Raw genomic sequence first — 21,387 nt, forward strand, 5'->3', positions numbered from 1 at the left:
AAAACAAATTGTTTGTCAGGAGCTGTCATTAGTATGTTTATATAAGCAAAATGGGCTTCCTTCCTTCTGTGGATCCTGGCAGGGCATCTCAGTAATCAGAAAGAATCAAAGACCCTTTCCTTCCCAATCTGCTCTGGCCTTGGTCAACATCTTAGTGCCAAATATTGCTGGTGTATTATCATTATTGTCTTACACCATTTTCTGCAGTGTTTCACTTAAGCCAACTAATACTCTGACCTTGATTTGAACCATCCAACAGAGAGTAGGAATTCCCTCCACAAAGCATGTTACTCATTAACATCTTCCTTTACAAGTCTCTTGATGTTCATTCACAAACTCAATTACCTTTTTCCTCCATCAACCTCAATTATTTGCATCATTTTCCATGGGCCTATGGGAGTATTTAATTGAATACATATTTTTTCTTCTCAAATCAAATTTTCTGAAAAAAATTTGTTTCTATGAACTGTATTTTAGGTATATTCCAGGTTGGTACAAACACTAATTTTCAGGGGTCATTATGTCAAAGAGCCCATCCACACCCCATGGCCTACATATGTCAAAGGATTGTTCTTTATTCATCCACTTTCTATGAATTCCACACACGGGAGATAAACTTCTTTTTCATCCATATTACCAGGGTTGTCAGGGAGCAACACTGAAGGTCACAGTGTTCAGTGAAACCTTGCCATAACTTAGACTAAACACGTTTTTCCCATAATTTTACTTCTTCAAATTCTTTCTTTTTCTTTCTTTCTCTTTCTTTCTTTCTTTCTTTCTTTTTCTTTCTTTCTTTCTCTTTCTTTCTCTCTTTCTCCTTTTCTTTCTCTCTCTCTCTCTCTCTCTTTTTCTTTTTCTTTCTTTTTTTTTTTTTTGACAGGGTTTCACTCTTGTCACCTGGCTGGAGTGCAGTGGCACAATCTCGGCTCACTGCAACCTTCACCTCACAGGTTCAAGCAATTCTCCTGCCTTAGCCTCCCGAGTAGCTGGGATTACAAGCACCTGCCACCATGCCTGGCTAATTTTGTATTTTTAGTAGAGACGGGGTTTCGCCATATTGACCAGGCTTGTCTTGAACTCCTGACCTCAGGTGATCCACACTCCTCAGCCTACCTAAGTGCTGGGATTTTACAAGTGTGAGCCACTGCGCCCGACGTTGAGCTTGTTTCTTTATGAATTCCTGCAACTCAACATTAAAGACATAATATCCCATAGTGATTAATATATCCAATAGTCCTTCCTGACTAAAGGTACAAAGTTAATCCTAGTGTTGTTAATAAGCATGGAAGTCATTATTTATTCAGTGTCTTCGGTTCAAGCATTGTCTTAAACCAAACTGATTTTCTACTACAACTGAGTCCTCTAAAAACAGCTTCCTCTAGTGTCCCTATTTGAAGTAGCAAGTCATTTTTATCATAATGATGGGCCTCCTAGAACACTACTTCAATTAGATTTAATATCACATGACCAAATCCTGTAATTCTTTCAAAATGCCTGGCAAAGGGGCCAGTGCTGCTTAACTTGCCACTCATGTAGTTCATATTATGTGCTAATTAAATGTGTCTAGTTTGAAAGCATTGTCTACACCTACAAATAATGTGCTTCATGAAATTCTCAATTAGGTATATCCTAGCACCAGATACCGTTTTATCTGGCTGTGCCATAGGCTTCCCTTAAATGTCCTCTACTTACCTCTTGAGGGAGTTATTTATAATTTTAAAGCATTAAAGCAAACATAAAATCACATTCTCTGAGGCTTTCTAGGTTCTAGTTTTATATTATTTAAATTAATTCCATTTACATTCACACTGATATGTTCAAAGCAACAGACCAGATCAAGCTGTGACATACCAGACAGGCAGCCACTATCTGCTTTCTATCATAACCAGGGAGCTGTCTTAGCAATGTATCATTTTGATTTATGGCCATATAGGGTGCAGAAATTCTATTCTACAGCATCCTCTGCTCTGTACAATTCATTGGTAGTTTCTCTGGAAAAAAATAATCTAGAATGGTAAACAAAGCCTAGAAACTGAGTGATAACTGTAGTCAACTACACACAAGCTGAGTTGTCAGGGGGCACTTTGTCATCTGTTTTATTCAAATTATACAGGTAGAACATCCAAATCAGTAGGAGTCCAATTTTCCTTTTCTGCAGTAAGCAGGCCAAGAGATTTTCACCAACAAAGCCCATTTGTTTGGATGACAATAGCAAAAGATAGTTAAGTATGATATCCTCACTCTGAGCTGTTTGCATGAAAATATTGTAGTGGCTTCCCTCCACGGTAATGTAATCTACTTATAAACACCTTTCCCATCTGCTATGATTTTACCCTATTTCCAAATGCTTCCTCCCAATATCAGGCTGTATAACTCATCATGCATAATGTTTGCCCGCACAATCAATAACAAGAACCTTACTAGCACACCCAAACAAATGTTTGGGTTTTATTTGTTTGTTTGTTTAACTTTTATTTTAAGTTCATGGGTACATGTGCAGATTTGTTACACAGGTAAACTTGTGTCATGGGGTTTGTTGTCAAACAAATGTTATAAGTGACAGACAAAGGACCTCAGAAGTCTCTCCTCTGCTTGATAATGGAGCTACCTTCACCTTTAGCCCTAATTGGTTACATAGGAAGGAACTTTTGATCCACCACAAATTACCTTTCAGAAAAGGCACAGTCAAATTAAATGACACAAATATCATGTCTTGGGTATTGTATAATCTTCCTCTGGTGCAAGTAAATTTAAAACTGGGTTTGAGACCGCCATTAGAGGCCAAATAAAAGTATTAGAGGTGGGAAAGATATAAAGTTATATATTATTGCATTCTCCTTCACTCCCTCATTATTACCTCTTGATATTAGTAAGGCACAGTGGATTTTGTTATTTATTTCTCATATTAGTCTCAGGACGCAATGGTTTCACTAAATGAACCCTTAATAATTTTTGAGCAAGGGGCCTTGCTTTTCATTTTTCACTGGGTTACAGAAGTTATGTAGCTGGTCCTTCCTGTTGACATTGGCTGTGTCATTCAGTGCAACAGCATGTGTCTTTCAAATGGATTATAGCAAACAGCTGCCACAGGCATATTTTGAGTCAAAATCCTAAGGAGTCTAAATTGGTGGTCTCATTTAACTTTTCCTAAAGGGCTCTAGTTTGGGTATGCCCTAATATCATCTGACCAGTTGGATGGGATCATAAGGGCCTAATGTTATTGCCTGTGCTACCACCTACCACGATACTTTTCATGCTTATTTCTGTTCAGTACCTGCAGTGAGTTAAGTAGTGCTCTTCTGAAATTATTATTCATTCAGAATCTCAGAAGGTGACCTTCTTTAGAAATTTGCACATACAATTAGTTAAGATGAGCTCCTACTAGATTAAGGAGGGTCCTAATTCCAATGACTGGAGGTGTTTTTATAAGAAGAGAGGACACATGGAGAAGAGATTGAAAATGAAAGCAGAAATTGGAGTAATAAATCTATAAGTAATAAAGCTCCAAAAATTTGTAGGAGAGAGTAGAACCTAGGCAGGGGCAAGAAAAGATTTTTTTCTGTGGCTTTTCAAGGAAGCGTGACCCTATTGACTCCTTGGCTTCAGACTTCTAGCCTCCAGAACTGTGAAATAATAAATTTCAGTTGTTTTAAGCTACCCAGTCTGTGGTAATTTGTTCCAGCAGCCCTAGGAAAGTACTACAATGCTGTATTCACGTTCTGAACTCTTTCCAGTTATTTTGTGAGTATGGGTAGACAAGATTCTTAGAACAGTCTTGACAGTCTCTGAGTTTATTGCTTATTGGTGGGTCCTATGAAATATAAATTACTTCTCACAGTTTAAGGAATGTCCTAAGTTGATCTGCACTAATTTATAGGATTTAGTTGGAGTTTAAGGAATGTCCTAAGTTGATCTGTACTAATTTCCAGGAATTAATTTGCACCTTGGGCTGTGCCTTAAATTCTAGCTGGATTTATCAGCCAGCTTCTATTTGTAATACAGGTGACTATGGTCCTTAACTCCTCTCCTAATTTTTGCTCTGAGAAGAAAATTATCATCATACCATGAAAGTAGTAGATGAACTCTATCTTTTAGGTTATTCTTTACCAGATTATGGAAATGTGATAATGAATTTTTTTAAAATCCATGATAAGACAGTAAACATATACTTGTTTCTATTCTGCAAAGCTTAAAATTTTCCTACTTGAAATTTAAAAAAAAAAACTCTTAGGAGGCCCCTGAGATTGGTTTAATGCTCTGTTGTAGCTATCTGGAAATTCTTAATAATTTTTGAGTAAGTATCCATGCATTTTCATTTTATACTCAGCTCTATGAATTATGTAGTTAATCTTGATAACATATCAGAGCCTCTTGTCTACTTTATTTTCTGTACATTCTTCATCCTATCAGGTACAGATGAAGCACGCAAATGAACCACCTTGATACTCTACTGTAAATGTCCAGGGGCTACCTACTTATTGACCAGTTAGAACTACAAAAAGGAAGTTAATGTGGGGAGGGGAACTTCCTTCTGAACCATTTTCTTAATTACAACAGTAGTCTCTTATTGCGCCCTTGGAATTCTGCATTGCTTAATATTTACTACTGTGGAGAGCTTGAGCAATTCCAAAGGATCCCATTTGGCAGAGCTGATTAAAATTTGGTGAAGAGTGAGCTCAGTCTTCATCCTCTGTGGAAACACAAAGACGACAATGTCCCATTCATACTGAATGACAATTGCAATTTTGTATTTATGTAAAGGTAGCACAAGCAGGTAATATTCTCTCCAACCACACATTTCAACCTGTAACTTCATCTTTACCTTGGTTTCCTCCCTGATGTTCTCTTCATGCACTCCAGATTTCACTTAGAGCATGTATGAGACTCTTTCCTACCTTCCATAAGGCCTACTGTAAATTCTGCTCTACATCCTACCAATGATAAGAAACTTTGAATACCACCCCAGGTAACTTTGTTCAAATTATATATATGGCCTCAGATCCATGACTGGGGCTGGAATGAACAGACCTCAGTTCTTTATTTAATTGTTTTCAGATTCTACGGCTTTAATTAAGGCAGTAAACTCAGCCCCCTGTTCAAGTATGTTCTGTTCTATATCACTATCCTCATAATTGGATTTGAACTCTTTCAGCCACAATAAATAAAGCAAATTTTCTATGATTCTTTAAGGGATTGGTGGGGGCTACAGTACTCCTCTCCTCTGATTCAAAAGTTGATAATGTGCTTTTATTTTCTTATTAAAAATTCTATCAAGGCTTACTTTTTAAATCCTATTTATATTTTCTTCAAAAGTAAATTAATTCAAGTGAGCTGCCTTTCTATTTTCTCTTCTGATTTTTAATTTCTCCCTGTTGTGCACATGATATAAATGCTTTTTCTCCGTATAATCCCATGTATAGTAACTAAACCTGTATGTTTGTTACTGTTCTCTGAATATATATATTTGGCCCTCAAGGTTATATAAGTCTTGTAAGACAGAGAATCATTAGCTTATCCCATTCACTCTATCTCTTATTATTTGTATCAATAGCATTAACTAAGGTGTTTTCTCTCTGGAAAATATAAAGCCTGTCAACATTTACACTTGTATCATTCCTATCATGTGAAAAGGAGAATCCAATTGGCAATTTGGAGAGGAGTAGTAGCAGTTACCCTTCTCAGTATAGGACTGACAAATCTCACCTTAACAACTGCAGCCGATATGCTGTCACAGTATTTGGAAGTGTTTTCTCAAAAGTTTACAGCCATTTAATGATTAGCCATGACCATGAATAGTCCTTTGCATCAGATAATAATAGAATTGCAACATGTCCTCCATCATTAATTTGAAGAATCCATGCCAATGTTAATTCACCAGTCTTCTGTTAGTGAATACTCTGTTCTTTAATAAAATATAGTTTTCACTCATCACCTGTCCTTGGACTCCGGTTACATAAATAGTTTGTCCAATAATCAATATTTTGAGTCATTTCTAAGGATACATGAAATTTCTCCAAGAAACCAGGGAGGGATAAGAAGGTTTTCCAGTGAATAAAATGTAATCTCGCAGCTTTTTCTCCCACTATCATCTCCTCCTATTAAAAACTAACCTATTAAAAGGTTAGCTTTTACAGGTATGCTAGCAGGAGTCAGTCAATGGGATTTGCACCCAATTTCCCTTTGTCCATGTACTCCCTAGACCCGTACTCCCAGACTGTAGTCTATGGCCCCCAGATTTCAATGGTAAGACTTATTTCCCTTAACCTGCCTCAAAGATTCCACTACCTCATACCAAAAATGTACAGCCAACTATCCTGAGAACAAATTCTCATATTTTTCCATTATTTCCTTTTGAAAAGGAGCCCAGGTAGAAAAAGAAAACATTCACTATTTTGGTGTGTGGGTCTAAAAGACAATCCTGCTCTCAGTGCCAATCTGAACCCACAAAAAGCATTGAATTGTCAAATCGGACTCACATTGAAGATTTTGCTCAGTATCATGCTTTCTGAATAATTTCAAAGATAAAATAATCATGTATGGGTTAAGTGGGGAGAGACCTGTGTCCTTTCATCTTCATTGAATGTGGTCTCATCCAAGTTTCTAGATTTGGTTTCTAAGTAAAATGTACAGTTGCTTTACTTACTCAGGTGTATTCTCAGTTACAAACCATCTCCTTTTATACTTAGATAGCAACACAGCTAACGTGACATTTTCTTGGGAATCATCACCCTACATTTATTGATTCCTGGCTTATTTTTCATAAGCAATTTTAGACAACTCTGCATGGTCTGCTAGAAACATTTTATGAAGAATGATTCTTTGGCTACCAAAAACTATTTAGTTTATTTTCTAAGAGACTTGCATTAATATGTTTGCAGAAAAATTAAACCAGAACACCTGACTTCTTTATTTCCCAGGAGTTTTCCTCCACACCTGCCCCCATCAGGGGAGAAAATTGATCAGGAGGTACCACCCCTTTCCACACCATTCTTGAATCTATTCTACAGAACTCTCTCACATGGTCTAGCAATATGTTTAAGGTAGAACCCTTTTTCTATCAATATTTCTTATGTGTTAAATTTGCATTATTATATGTTGACTAGAAATTATATATTCCTTCTTAAACATTAATCATAATGAATCTAAAAACCTAATTTATTTCAACCAATAAATTTCTCTTTAATTCCTGTCCTCAACATTCTTGTCCTCAATATTCCTATTGTTACTGTTACAGTTATGAAATCATCTTAATGAAATCACAGCTAGACCAGTGCATTAATTTAAAACAATAGCATCCTTTTTCTATAATTTAACTTCTTCAAACTTTTCTTCACTGTTGTATAATGATAATTACTCTAAAATGACAATCTGATCATTAAAACTTTAATCATTTACTCTCTGCCAATTTCATAAATAAATATTTGATTCACAGTTGTTATTTCTTCTTCAAGATACATCAAATAATCCACCTTTATGAAAAGCAATTTACTGTTTCATAAATGTGCTTTATTATGTCACATATTCAGTCTTTTAAACATTTTGTGCCATCCTTGGTCATCAAATAAATTTCTATCTACTAAACATGACTGACTTAGCAAAACGATAGCCTTAGTTTCATGCATGTCTCCATCAATTTTGGAATTGCTTTTATGCCCAAACTGCAGTGGGAGAAAAACACACAACAAAATTGTGTTGATTGTTATCTCTTTAAAACCACAACCTTGAAAAGCAAATGTGCCTTTAAGGCGGCCAAACAAGCCCATTTTTCTTTTGTTAGCCATTGCCTTCTTCCTCTTATGTAAGATTAACTTATGGATTCTTTCCTCATTTCACACCCCTCACATACTTTTCTTCAATCTCAATGCCAGCTGATGACCTTGTTTCCTGTGTCAAAAAATAAATACATAGATAGATAAATAACAATCAAGAGGAAATGTATGCAGACTCCCACTACTACATATACTTAACGCCAGTATCTAAAATTACACACTACTCATCCTGCATATTAATAGAGCAGGGTCTTTTCTCTGGTACTATGGACAAACTGAGCCAGATAATTCTATGTTTGGGATGGGGTGTTGGAAAGGTTGCCTTGTATGTTGCAGGATGTTTAGCAACATCCCTGGCCTCTCCAATTCGATGCTAGTAGTAACTCCATTCACAAGTTGTGACAACAGAAAACATCTCCAAACATTGCCAATTGGCTCCTTGCAGAGTGAAATCTCTCCTTAAAGAAAACCACTGCCAGAAATGAAATGTTTATACACCTACCTCAAGCTTACGCCTTTACTTGTTCATCAACTCTTTCTGACTACACAGGCTATAGACAGATACTTTTCAATACTTACCCCTCTTATACATAATCAAATTTTCCTCTTTATTGGGTCATTTCATGATCATACAAATAAGCTATTACTTCTGTCATACTAGAAAATAAAAGCAAATAAGCAACCAGTATTCTTCATTTTCCCCATTTTCATTGTCAGATACCACCAGGGAATTTGATCCCTTTTTCACCAAAACTCTTTAAAAGGATAATTTATAGTCACCGTGTCATTTGCTCCTTGCATTTTCTCTTTAATCATTTCATTTCCATACAGATTTTTGCCCCCCACTACTCTAATTAAACCTGTCCTCCACTTTGTTAATCTTATAGTTATTTTTCTCACCTTACTTGATTTATCAGCAGCATTTGAAGTAGATTATTCTCATAATACTATCTTCATTTGACTCCCTGGTTTTATATTATTTGTATACTTCTCTCTCTCTCTGTCTCCCTCTCTCTCTCTCTCTCTCTTTTAGTGTTTTCTTCTATTCCTCAGACTCAATGTTGGAATGCTCCAGGCCTCAGTATTTTATTTCCCCCCACCATCATCTTTCTCTGTACTTCTTTCCTTGGTTATCTCATCCAATCTCGTGGTTTTACATGCAGTGTAAATGCTAATGACTCCCAAATTTATATTTCCATGCCATATCTCTATCCCAAATTCCACACGCATAAATCCAATTGCATTTTTTACACTTCCACCTGAATGTCGTGATGATAATGGGTCTATTTTTCCTGAGACCCATTCCTCACTCTGCCCAGTTCAGTTCATAAGACAGAGGGGATGAACACTGTGGATTATGTAGCTCAGATTTTCTGAAAGCTGGCTTCCAGTTAGGCTCAAACAATAGGAGACACATGTAGAAAGATGAAAGGCAGGAACAAGGAGAAATCTAGATATTGTCTCATTTTCTCCCTGTCATCCCTAATAACAGTTACATTTTTTACAGGCTCCTGCTCCTTTACATAGGCCCACTGTGGTTCCAGCTTCCCCCAAATATCCCTCCCTGCAGCTCCAGTAGTACAGCCTCCTATCCCTGTTCTCCAAGGGAAGGTGATAGTAGCCTCCCATTGTTGCTAAATTGTAGGTTGCCTCACTGTCCCCTGGTTGGCTTTAATTTTTTTAAAGTTATTTCTACCATCAATTACCTGTATCAATTCCCTTTGTTTTAAATTCTCAATGATTTCAGTTTTCCTGGCTAGTTTCTGATTACTTCAGATACCTAATGGAAATCTCAAAGAAAGTATGACTCAAGAGAAATTGTTGATTTCCATCTCCCAGCTACTACCAAACCTGTTTATGCTTATCCATTTCATTTGATGGCAAGTCCTTCCTCTGGTTGCTTAAACCCAAAGACTTTATAATATGTAGAATCAACTACTTCTCACCATGTCTACTGAGGTGTGAATTACTACTGTTTTCCTCTTGGATAAAGTCAATATCTAAAGAGGGGACTTTTCCTAAAAGTGTCCTCTTACAGTCAGTTACCAACACAATATCCACAGTCATCCTTTTTACATAAAAGAGCGTGTCACTTCTCTTCTTAGGACCTGTAGTGACCCTCTCTTTCATTGATGGTAAAATTCTAAGGCAGTGTGAGTTTTAAAATACCCTGTAAATATGTACAATTATTATGTCATTTAAATATAATATATATTTTTAAAAATTAAAAACGTATATCAAGGCCCAAATTACTTCTGTGTGCTCATCGTTAACTCCCCTTCCTCACTCATCTCCAGCCACACTGGTTTCCTTGAACCCCTTCAAACAAGCCAGATATGGGGCTGTCTTGGGCTTTTGCACCGTCTTTTCCCTCTGCCTGGGTTCCCTTCTTTCAGATATCTACATGTTTAATCCCTCACCACCTTTAAATTTTTGCATAAATGCTATCTTTTCAATGATGTTTTCTATGGCCTCCCTACTTAGCATCTCAACCTGTTTCTTGGACCAGCATTAGAAAATGAATATAGAGAGATGAACACAATATATATGGCCCTGCCCTCATAGTCCTAGCAATCTACAGGGACACAAAATAATATGCAAAAAAGTATTTGAATTATCTTCAGCACCTTTCTAAAGAAAAAAAGCTACTTAAAACTTACACTTAGAAATGCTCAATATGAGTCAATACATTATGTCACCACCTAAAGTAACAAGATGTTAGGCTGCAACTGCTGTATGTTTTGAATGAGACTCATTACACTATGAAGTCACATACTTGTTTAATATTATAATAAGACAGAACTAAATTTAAATCATAGTTATACCAAACACTAGCTACACTGAATCTCTACATCTCAATGTTCTCACCAGCAAAATCAAGCTTATAATAATACTAGCTTCTTCAAGTTATTTAAAAGATAAATGAGCTAAGACATGTAATGCTCATAGCCCATTTAGAAAGGCAAAATATAAGGTGTAGTACATAGAAACCACTGACCATTGGTAATTCTGAAACACTACAGGTCAGACAGTTTGAATGAACCATATACTAAAGGTTGGAAAAGTTATTTGATTAAACTCTGCCTTTTTTTTTTCTGGGAAGAACACATAGATTAATCACTTTGTATAATCCCAACCTCTCCCTTCTTGGGAGTGGGGATAGGGGAAACAGTTTTCATCATCTATGATCTTAAGTTTCCTCATGCTCTTTCTCATTGTTAAGACAATACCACTTATTTTAGCTTATTGTTACAATAGTATTTCATTTTTTTCTAACAACTTGGTATTAGTCAAGATGGGATATAATAACAAATGACTCTTGAAATCTTCATGGGTGCCATGGGAAGTTTCAAGAACACAACTTGAAAGTGAATTGCATGACTTTGTTCTGTGTTTCATTGACCACTACTCATTCAGTGAGCCTGAAAGTAACTGTGTATATCACTGTTAGTATACTATGCATGCCAGATACCCAAGACTCAAACTTTTCCTTTCCTTTAGATACCACCTACTTAGTCATCAATTTTGGTTCAACCTACTCCACTAAATAGCTTTGACTTCCATTCACTTACCACTTTAGATTAGTGCTATAGACTCCTATTTTACCTCCTTCATATCAATCCCCTTAAAACTCCCAATAGCTTCCATTGTTTCAACCAAAAGCTCAAATTCCTTTAATATAAAGTGTTATATGAACTGGCACCCTATATACTCTATATCCTAATCTCTCATCTTTCATTTATTTCTTTAACTCCTGACTCATGTAACAAAAATGTATTTATCTCAGCACGTATGTACTCCCTTGTTATGCTCTCCCAAATGTCCCTGTATTTTTCATTGAATAGCAATTGCCACATTTTATTTTATATGCTTGTGTTACCATTTATATATATATTTACTACAGACTCTGCTTTTAGAAGGCATACACTGGCCAGGCGCAGTGGCTCACACCTGTAATCCCAGCACTTTGGGAGGCTGAGGCTGGCGGATCATGAGGTCAGGAGATCGAGACCATCCTGGCTAACACGGTGTAACTCCATCTCTACTAAAAATACAAAAAATAAGCCGGGCGTGGTGGCGGGCGCCTGTAGTCCCAGCTACTCGGGAGACTGAAGCAGGAGAATGGTGTGAACCCAGGAGGCGGAGCTTGCAGTGAGCCGAGATCGTGCCACTGCACTCTAGCCTGGGCGACAGAGTGAGAATCTGTCTCAAAAAAAAAAAAAAAGAAGGCATACACTGTGATATTTGCAACATCAAACAAACAAACAAACAAACTAAAATTGGAAGAATACCCAAAAATAACTCAAAGGAATAATTTTAATTTCAATTAATTGATTATGGCCTTTATCATTTTAAGATTTTTATATGTCTACTTTTATGAACTCTAGGCTAGTTTTTTCCACTTTTATTTCTACAATCATGGGGCCTATTTTATATTTTCTCTTGCACTTGATTATAGAAGAGATTGAAATGAGTTAGGAAACATGTACTTGAAACCAATAATGGGCACACTTTACAGGATTTCAAAATCTAAAAATATCATAACATAACTTCAGGGAAGAGTAAGAAGTATTGGTGTCATTTTTTTCCTTTTAGTAGATTAGTTGAAGAGGTAAATTGAACATGGACTATATGTCAGACTTTTTTTTCCAAATTATATTCTTAAATATATAGTAAAACATATGCTAGAGACAGTTTTTTAATAACAAACAATATTTGAATTGAGATCCTGAAGAAAAATAAATTAACTGTGTAAAAATGTATTACTAAATATCTGCATTTTCTAGAGATGTATCCTTAAGTATGTAGGTATAAAATTACACTCTGAGATATATTTTTAAAATAATTTGGCAAGAAGAGAACAGGGATACCTTAAGCAGAAACAACAAAATTATGATAATTGTTGAATATGTGTGATGGTTGTATGTTAATGTATTGATTATTTTGTGTGGGTATGAAAACATGATAATAAAATCAAATTACAAAAAAATAAAAAATACCTCTTGCTTTTTTAGCAGCTTATTACATTGTTTATAACAGTGTCTACAGCGCTATGATTGGTCAGAGCCAGAGACTATAACATTTAATAAAACGAGTCCTCTAGAAGCTCATGGGAGTTCATTTACGGCAGCAAAGACCTATATTAAATGGACTGAATATTTAAGGAGTAATTATGTTGAGTAATGTGTTTATTTATAGTTTTAATTATACATTATCTTTTTTGGTTATCTTTAAAATATATTAAGCTTATGCAAATAGGATATGCATCATAACCCAGGATCTATTATCTGAATTGCTTATATACTTATAATAACATAACTTTAAAAGAAAGAATCAAACCATATTGCTAGCTTACAGGTTGGATCTTTCTAGACAATAGTTATTTACCTGAATGTTTATTTTTGTTTTGCATCTTCATCAGTTAAAACCAACAGTTACAATACAAATGAAAGTTAAAAAATAATAATATTATTAATGTGAAATTTCAATGTGCTTAGCAATAAATAATGGGAATAAGAATTATCCAGGATGTACTAAATGCTACAAGAATTATATAAGTCTAATGAACATGATGCTTTTGAACTTAAGTAAATTCTATGTGCTTAACTATTTTTATTGTTTATAGATTTAGGACTTCTGAATGCATTCTTTTTTGCTGTTATGGGATATTATGAATTCACCTTAGTAGACTTTTGCTTACAGGACATAAAATTAATTTATTCTATGAATTTTTTCTTCTTTTCCTAAAAATGTGTAAGTTCTGTGATTTCTTGGACTAAAAGATATCTATTTACATAGTGAAAGGCCAGGCCTTGTAAAGATCGTGACAGTATTCAATCCTATTCTCGTTTTTTTGTTTCAATGTGTTGCTAGTTATCTTATCTCAGTGTATTGTATTTATATAACTGCATATTTGATTAAGATACCTAACCTATGAGACATATTAACATAATGAACACATGTAAGCACACAACCCAATTTAAGCATAAGAACAGTATCAATAATTTTGCAGTTATCTTTCACTCTTTTTCAGTCACACAGAGACAACTATACTCTTAATTTTGTGTTTAGAGTCCTCTATTTTCTTAATAGACAGATTGCACATGGTTAAAGGTCTATGTTTACATCAAGAGAGCCTGTGTCTGGATCTTGTTCACCCCGCTTATGTCTCTTTTGAAGTTATGCTTAAGCTTTATCCCTTGTTCCTTTATGGAAATTTGAGTATTTTAGGAAAAGTAAAAAAAAAAAAAAAAAAGAAACTTTAAAGTAGAATGATAAAATCTAGTGTTTTTAGATACAGAAGTGAGAAGCTGAATACGGGTAAAGCATGATGGACTATGGGAAGAACGGAATTTCTTGTGTGTGACTGCTCATTCAATAAGCTATATTTTTTAAAGACCTGAACAGGTTATAGCTATTGGTTATCTACAAGTGGAATTCTCAAACACGAAAATGAAAGCCTGACAAATAAGATGCTAATGCCATTTTCACTTAAAAAATAGAACAAGCGAAAGAGAGAAATAAAAGCACTAGCCCAGTAAGAACATCTTCTATTTGCCTTACTCATAAGCCATTTCAGGGCCATAGCTGCAAAACTAGGAAGAAACTGCTAAGTGCTAAAACATTTTAACCAATCACTTTAAGAAAGGCAGAGGAAGCAAATCACTCTAGTAGATAAAACAGGAGAGACTGAAGTTGCTATAGTTGTAATCTTTTTAAAAATAATCTATTTGTTTTGAAGAAAACCCCAATAGGAAGGTGTTTTCATTTTTAAAGGTATCTCTCTTCAGATACTATTTAATACTCAATGTGCTAATAATGTCAAAAATTGTTAAATGCGTATATATCTGTATTTCAAATAGGATAGTTTATCAAGTCAGGTTTTCCAAGAAGCTGATACTATGCAATTATAAGTCACTCAAAAGGTTATGAGAGGAACGTTAGTTAAAGATTAAGAAGAAAAAGCAGATCTAAGTGCAGGGAGTCTTCAGTGATGCAAGCCTGGCTTCTGTCAAAGGAGGGGAAGAAGGATGAGAATGAAAGAGTCACAGCCTGAAACACAGTTTAGGAAGTTTTGGCCCGGACAATAGGAGTCTCCAGTCCAAAGTCTTCTGTTGGAAGGTTATCACAAATCTTAAAAATGGCCTTCATCAATACTCCGAGCATGCTCAGTCATTGGCCAGGAACAGCCAGAGAAAATATGGTCTGAGTGCAAAGATAGTCATACAACCAGAAAAACAGTAGCTGGGGCTGCCTGTCATCCATGCTCACTGAAGCAAGAGTTGTGAGTGGTGACCACATATATCAAATATTTCTATGAAAAAAACAAAACAAAACAAAACCCAATCAAGTGAAACTCCAAAATGATAACCTTTAATGCTTATTAGGTGGCACAAGTGTTAGGTTGGGTATTTTACTAAATATTTAATCATTATATATGCACATATTTATGGGCATGTGAGCTTAATTTCTGTTTTTAAATTCAGAATGCTTCAATAATAACATTGCATTTTATATAATCCTGATTTTCTTTTTTAAAATCAGCTCAAAAGGAGAAGTTAAATATTCAGCTTTAATTTCACCAGTAGATTTTTAATGTTTTGTAATCATAATGTTTAATTTGTGCTGTTCTTAGAACTTTAATTATGAAGCTAAATTGTACTAATACCCATTAGGTACTTCTTAATTGAAGGCACATCATATGTCTGATGTGGCAGTACTAATTGGTGTAATTAAATTCTAATATGCTTCAGTAGCCTGATTTTTTTAAGGGAATAAAAAGCTGATAGAAATAAGTCAGCTCTTGAAGCTGCATAGTTGTATAATACATACACGTGTTTGCATTTGTAACATGCACATTTATTCAGAAGAAACAACTCATTAATTTATTCCAAAACCATTTCACCTGATAACTTAAAATACAGAGTAAAACAAATTGGTCAGGTAAATATACATGTAACTTAAAAAGAAACAGTCATGTACTTTAGGCATAAGGACAATGCTTTTCTCTTTTACAAATTCTAAGTTAGGTCAAATTCTCTGAAAGTCACTACCTTTCTTTACTGTGATGTGTTTTCGGTGAAGTTACAGCCTATTTGCAAATCACATCACTGGTTTGTCCAAGCAGAGGTAGATGAGAGGTAAGCTCCTGTCCTGCTAAAAGTCTCCTAAAAACAGCAAGAAAATATTTTTACATGTTCAAAAATGCTCATTTATTTATATTCCTAAATTTTCTTTTACTCAGTATAATATAGATAATTTAAAAATAAGTAGAATATTTTTATTATATATGTTTTATTTTTATACATCTAGTTAAATTAATAGTGGAACATTATATATCTGTTAAATGTTTTAAATTACATGGAATTAAAATATCAAAGTTAATTATGTTATTATAATTTTTAAATTTCAGAAACCTTCTTTAAAATTCTTACTGTTTTATCTTAAAAAATTCATATAGAAATTGTGGTCAGATGTAAACTGTGACTCTGAGCACAAATCCCAATGCTATTGCCAATTAAATTCCAATTTTTGTGTTCACACATGAAATGTAGTTTTTCTTTTATTGAGTTTTAAAAATCTGTAAGATTTACCTATCTGAATATACACTCAGGTCTAGCTTCATGTTCCTGTGACCTCTGTGGTCACACAAGGACCCATGTACATAATGACCTCATACTTGGCCTAATGCTCTGCTGTTGCCATCTTGAAACGCTTAACACTTTGAACGAGGTACAACATCCACTTCATTTTGCACTGGGCCCTGCAAATCACGTAGACAGTCATATATGAGTCCAGTATTTTCCTACCACCAGACATTTTGATGTACTGAAGAGATAAAAAAAAAAACCTAATAATTAGAAGTTTTAAAAGAATTTTTTTTTTTTTTTTGGAAGACTAGAGTTTTATTACTGAAATCAGTCTCCCCCAAAATTTAGAGACTGCATTTTTTTATTTTTTTTTAATTTTTTTATTGATAATTCTTGGGTGTTTCTCACAGAGGGGGATTTGGCAGGGTCATGGGACAATAGTGGAGGGAAGGTCAGCAGATAAACAAGCGCCTCTGCCCGGCCGCCCCTACTGGGAAGTGAGGAGCCCCTCTGCCCGGCCAGCCGCCCCGTCCGGGAGGGAGGTGGGGGTGTCAGCCCCCCGCCCGGCCAGCCGCCCCGTCCGGGAGGGAGGTGGGGGGGGTCAGCACCCCCGCCCGGCCAGCCGCCCCGTCCGGGAGGTGAGGGGCGCCTCTGCCCGGCCGCCCCTACTGGGAAGTGAGGAGCCCCTCTGCCCGGCCACCACCCGGTCTGGGAGGTGTGCCCAACAGCTCATTGAGAACGGGCCAGGATGACAATGGCGGCTTTGTGGAATAGAAAGGCGGGAAAGGTGGGGAAAAGATTGAGAAATCGGATGGTTGCCGTGTCTGTGTAGAAAGAAGTAGACATGGGAGACTTTTCATTTTGTTCTGCACTAAGAAAAATTCCTCTGCCTTGGGATCCTGTTGATCTGTGACCTTACCCCCAACCCTGTGCTCTCTGAAACATGTGCTGTGTCCACTCAGGGTTAAATGGATTAAGGGCGGTGCAAGATGTGCTTTGTTAAACAGATGCTTGAAGGCAGCATGCTCGTTAAGAGTCATCACCAATCCCTAATCTCAAGTAATCAGGGACACAAACACTGCGGAAGGCCGCAGGGTCCTCTGCCTAGGAAAACCAGAGACCTTAAAAGAATATTTTTAAGAGTTGTTGTTTGTTTGTTTGTTTTTTAATCCTAGATGTCTCAAGCTTGCCTTCCATTAGATAATGCAGTAAGGAACCCCCAGTTTACAACACAGGGCAGGCAGGAAGACAACCAACTCAATGGGATCTCTGTCCTGTGTAGTCATCACCAGCTGATCCTTCTTTTTCTCCGCTAAGGTGGTGACAGCGTTAACCCCCATTAAAAGGACAGGTGATCTCTCAGTGGGGATGTCTCCTTTGCTTTCTTCTCAGCCCAGGCCAACAGTCTCTGCTGCTTCTCTTGCTTTGTCTCTGGTCTGTACTTGCCAGCCAGCTTACCCCATTGAGCAGCTGTTTGGTGGTCCAAGGCCCTGGTGAACTGACTAATCACAGAAGGCACTTCTAGCTGCTTATAGAGGATGGCTCTCTGCTGCTGCAACCTAGTATAATGGGGCCATTTGACAAAGCAAGTGAGGTCCCTTTTGGGCTGGATGTTCTGTCCAATGCCAAAATGTCCTGTCCAGTGCCAAATTTCTCAAATGGAAGATTCACCACTTTCATGGTCTCCTGCTTTTTCAAGACCGCAAGGGTCAGCACCACCTTCTTCCCTTTGGCCTTCTTTCTTTTTCGCACCTTGGGTAGCTGGAGAACAGAATAATAAGATCTTGAGAGAAAAATAAGTTGAAGCCAGAGGTAAAACTGAATATTGGTAATATCTTTTTGTTTTAGGGTTGCTTTCCATTTTAGAAAGTAATTCAGAGTGTTATTTTTTAAAAATCATATATCAGAGTTCTCTAATAAATTTCAAACTTAAAAGAACATTTAACTTCATAAGAGAAGAGAAATGTTTCATGAACATATTTTAAAGATAGGGAAACTAGAATACAATTTGGAGTAAAACTAATATTTTAAGTAACCTGGAGATAGGACTCATATCTTTTAATAGAACATGCATTCTAACAAGCCAGTGATTTTTCAAAGTTTTCTAAAACACTTTTCTCAAACCACATTTAACCTAGAAGTAGAAACAAATAAAAGACACAAAATTAGAGTTAATTTTATTGTAACTGGGTTGGCTCCAGAGATTATAGTTAGGAAGTGATTACATTAAGCTCTACATATGCAGCATTCTAGCAAATTTCAATGCAGTAGACAAAATCTATAAATAATGTGAAACACATATTAACATGTTAAGCATAATATGCATTCATTGTCTTCAACAGAATAGTTCTCTATTAATTTTTTAAATGTAATACAATTTTACTTTAAAAACACTGAAAAATCAACATATTTCATTAAGAAAAAATTATAAATGTTGCAAAATGATGATGAAAATATGTATAGTAATAATTCCCAACTATAACAATTTTGTTTTATCTAATACTGGTCAGCTTTCCATGTGTCCAAGCATTACAGGACTTTTCATTAAGCCTAATCCTCACAAGAACATTGCTTTGAGCGATGTTCCAGAGTGGTAGTCCTTTAAGGCATTAGAACGATTTGTGAAATCCCTAAAAATACTAGGGGAAATATTCAAAAAATGACAATAGTGCCATTATTCCTCCTCCTCAAAGAGACTATCAGAACTAAAACTCTTTGCTTCATGTTCCTGTTTACTTCTGTCACTTTCAAGTCACAGAGGTATTATCAGACTGTCATCATTGTATGACTCTGCTTTTCCAACAGAATCAATTACCTATCCCTTATCTCACAACTTGATAGTGATAGATATTGAATGCTTATGTTCTGATTAGCAAACTCTTTTTGCATTTTTAATAACAACTTGAACTCCTGATATGTCTGGAAAATATAACCCCTTCAACAGCCCTTTCAATGGGTTGCTACTATTTTGCTCACCCCATCTTCACCTGCCTAATCATGAGGAGGCGGGGTATATACAATTTCAGTTAATTTGTAGTTATCAGTCTATTATAGTTCTTTCCTTCTGAAAACCAACAAGTAAATAAACCAGCAAGCATCACCAATAAACTTTGACAGTTTATGGTTCATAACGTACGTCTACACCAAACTTTCCATTCAAATGCTTTTTCAAACCTTTGTTTGGTTTCTTTCTCTATTAAGACAACTTTTGCTTTTGGCTTTCAAAGACATTCTCTCCATTATAAACTCTGTCGTTATTCTCTATTGTGCTTACCTCAAACTGGTAACTCTTTCAAATCTTACCTGTCAGTTTCTTGACCACCATGCATGTTAATAACATTTCTTCTCTATTTTAGACAGCAAATGTTTCTCAATATTAAAAAAAAAAAAAAATCCTACTCTTTGGTCCTCTCTACCTCCCATTTCATCCAATATCGCTTGTTCAAGACCTGAACTCGTACAGGTTTTTAACCTGTTGAAGACTGTCACTCTATGGACTCTACTCTCTTCTCTCTCCTCCATAGCCTTCTCATTGCCTATCTTCCCTACTTGTCCAGGAAATGATGACATGTTTCATCACTATAATTAATCCATTTCAAATGGCCTTTATGCCAAATGATTTTATTATATACTCTTTCTGTGCCATGCCTTGTTTTCCAAATTTACCACAGTACAAATTTTACAATTAGTTTTCCATTACTGAATTAGTACCAATCTCTGTCTTAAAAAATAAATACAGTAAAAAATGATAATGAATTTATTTCTTCTTATAATACTATCACTGGTGCATGGTTAGAATAAATTAATCTTAGGATGATATAAGCATTTCTCCAAATGGTCTTCAAATTCATTGATTTTTTTGTGATTTCAATTTCCATATTTATTGTTCCTGTTGCAATTTTTTCAGATTTTATATGTATTAACTCAGAACACATACCTCTTATCACACATATTTTTTCATGTAATTTATCTAAATCTTATAGAAAAGGGTACATTTGCATTTTCTCTTATTAGACTCCTGATTTCAAATAATATATTACTTATGAGTATTTTTCTGTGCTGTAGTTATTCATTCTCATAGATATGTAACATAATTCCTTTTGCAAAGGTAAAAATTGAGCTATCTCTTGTTGAGGATTTGTTGATCTCTGTCTAAAGTTTCAAAAATAAGAACTTTAAAAGCAAAATGTAAATTCCTTTCAAGTTTTAGTAAAATTACTTCAAACTTAGTAGCTTAAACAATACAGATTTATTATGTTACAGTTCTGTAAGACAGAAATCTGACTTGATCACACCATGGTAAAACCAAGATACTGCCAGGGTTGGTTTTTTCTTGGGGGGGGGTCTGTGGGAAGAGTTTGTTTCCTTTGGTTTTCCACAGCCCAGAGGCTGCTTGCTCCTTTGATCACTGTCCCTTCCTCCATTTTTAAAATGAGGAATGGAGTCAGGGTGACTATGGTTAGCAATATTGTATTGTATATTTCAAAATAGCTAGAAGAGAGGATTTTTGAATTCTCTCACCGTAAAGATATCAAAGATGTATGAAGTGAAGAATATGTTGAATATCCTGATTCAATATTTAAACTATACATACACGTGTTGAAACATCACACTGTATCCCATAAATATGTACAATAATTATGTGTCATAAAACAAGATTTAAATTGTTTTAAAGGGCCAGCAATGGCAGTTTGTGAGTTCCCATCTCATCACTCTAACTTCTTCTGCCTCCTTCCACTTGTAAATGTCCTTCTGATTATTTTGGTCCCATCAGGATAATCCAGAATAACTTTCCTATCTTAATATCAACTGACGAACAACCTTAGTTTAGTCTACAATTTCAATTTTCCTTTGCCATGCAACTAACATATTCACAAATTCTGGGGACTAGAATGTGGACACCCGTTGTATTAGTTTGTCCTCACACTGCTAATAAAGACACAGCTGAGACTGGGTAATTTATAAAAGAAAGAGGTTTAACTGACTTATAGTTCCACATGGCTGGTGAGCCCTCAAAATCATGGTGG

General features: G+C 35.6%; 1 long non-coding RNA gene and 1 pseudogene across 3 annotated transcripts in view; one reads left to right on the forward strand and one right to left on the reverse strand.

The window, feature by feature from the left end:
• LOC105376050 (uncharacterized) overlaps window positions 1-21,387 on the forward strand; it is a 108,520-nt gene that overhangs the window by 70,704 nt on the left and 16,429 nt on the right. The gene's annotated exons all lie outside the window — the stretch shown is intronic.
• On the reverse strand, window positions 17,560-18,112 carry RPL7AP49 (ribosomal protein L7a pseudogene 49; annotated as a pseudogene).

The sequence above is a fragment of the Homo sapiens genome, chromosome 9 (genome assembly GCF_000001405.40).
Source record: "Homo sapiens chromosome 9, GRCh38.p14 Primary Assembly".
Lineage (NCBI taxonomy): Eukaryota > Metazoa > Chordata > Mammalia > Primates > Hominidae > Homo > Homo sapiens.